Raw genomic sequence first — 1,783 nt, 5'->3', positions numbered from 1 at the left:
ACACAACATTCATTTTCAGTTTTCCTTCCAGGCTCCTGCTACTCTATCCAAATATTCAGTGTTGGAATTCCTCATTATTTAATCTAAGATATTCTTCTCACTGTTAACATTTTCTGCAGTCTATATACACTCCCCAAATATCAGGTACCATCCATCTATGCATAATGTTCCCTAGTTTGACACCTCTAACCCAGATTATTTTTTTTGAGTCCCAAATCTCAAACCCAATTTTCTACCCTACCTCTGCATTTGGATGTATATTAGGATCCTGAAACTCAACATGACCAAGATGAATCCATCTTTTCACCAAAAATGGGCTCTCTCTCAAGCATTTTTGTCTCATTAAATGTTCCTACCATCTGTCCAGAGAAAAAATTAGAAACTTGGGACTCATCTTTAATTCCTACCTCTTTCTAAATTCCACATTTAATCAATCAAGTCTTATCTATTCTTCCTTCTAAGTATTTATCTAGTAGTTTTCATTTCTCCTGAATATTAGAATAGTATAGAGAGGTTAACAAAATACATACTTCTCTGAGTCCCATCTCCAGAGATCCTGATTCAATTAGGCTGGTGTAAATCCCAGACACGGAATTAATAATAATAATTTTAAAACTCTAAGAAATGTTGATGTTATTGAAAATCACTGCTTTGACTCACTCATTTCTTTCTATCCTATCTTTCCAAATCTTAATGCAAACTAATACAAAGGTTAACAGTATTGTAAACAGTAAATCTCATATAATTAGGTCATTGCAATAACATCTTAAGAAGTCTCATTGTTCCTACTCTCACTTCTTTTCTCTACATCGCAGCAGGAAGGCTTTCTTTCTTTTGTAATGCATATCTAAGTATGTAATGCCTGTGCTTAATGCCCTTTAGTTACCTCCTGCTACACATAGGTTAATGACTTCAACTTTATACACGGTTTGAAACAACAGGTATACTTTATTTTCTTCCTGTCTTGTGCAAGGATTTGTGCATGTCAGTCCTTCAATCTGGATTGCTGGTGTCCCCTCTTCAGGTTTCTTTGCCTTACTAACTGCCTAGACAAAGTTGTCTCTCCTGTTTTATATATCCATTCTACACTCTCTCCTTGTCCTGCACATTGCACAGCACTCATCACACAGAGTCTACTTGTCTTGTGGATAGTGGTATTAGCAAACAGTTATTGAGTGCTTATAATGTGCTAAGCACAATGCTGAGTGCTTCAAAAACACAATCTCCTGTTAATACAAAAGAATGCTATAAAAGACGTACTGTAAATATTTCCATTTTAAAGATGAATAAACTGAGGTCCAAAAAGATTAACCATTTTCTGCAAGATTTTATGGTGAGTAAATTGTAGGTTATAACTTAAACTCAGGACATTTTATTTCAGAGCACACCCTCATCAGCCCTAAACTGAAGTGCCCAATGATGCATATTTTAAACTAACTTTTTTTTAATCAAAAGCTTTATTGCGATATAATTGATATGCAAAAGAATGGCACCTATTTAATGTATACAATTAGATGAAATTAGAATTTCATTCCCTCATGAAACCATCACTAAAATTAAGATGATAAACATATCCATCACCTCCTCCAAAAGTTTCCATCTCTTCGTTTTCATTTTTGTTTTTGTTTTGTAGTAAGAAAACTTAACATAAGATCTACCCTCTTAAATTTTTTAGGTCCACAATACACTATTGTTAACTATAGGCACTATGTTGTACAGCAGATGTCCAGAATGTATTAATGTTGCATAACTGAAACTTTATATTCATTGAACAATTCCTATT

The 1,783-nt window shown here is 33.8% G+C and overlaps 1 annotated feature.

The window, feature by feature from the left end:
- Positions 439-1,267: an enhancer, noted in NCBI's record as "OCT4-NANOG hESC enhancer chr9:10921436-10922264 (GRCh37/hg19 assembly coordinates)". NCBI's record gives its function as "activates a minimal SCP1, AML or CMV promoter by ChIP-STARR-seq in naive and primed H9 embryonic stem cells {active_cell/tissue: H9 hESC(naive and primed)}" and the evidence as "EXISTENCE:reporter gene assay evidence [ECO:0000049][PMID:30033119]".

Source organism: Homo sapiens, chromosome 9 (genome assembly GCF_000001405.40).
Source record: "Homo sapiens chromosome 9, GRCh38.p14 Primary Assembly".
NCBI classification, from domain to species: Eukaryota; Metazoa; Chordata; class Mammalia; order Primates; family Hominidae; genus Homo; species Homo sapiens.
Note: the sequence above shows the minus strand (reverse complement) of the source record. Positions and strands in the feature narration are given on the sequence as shown.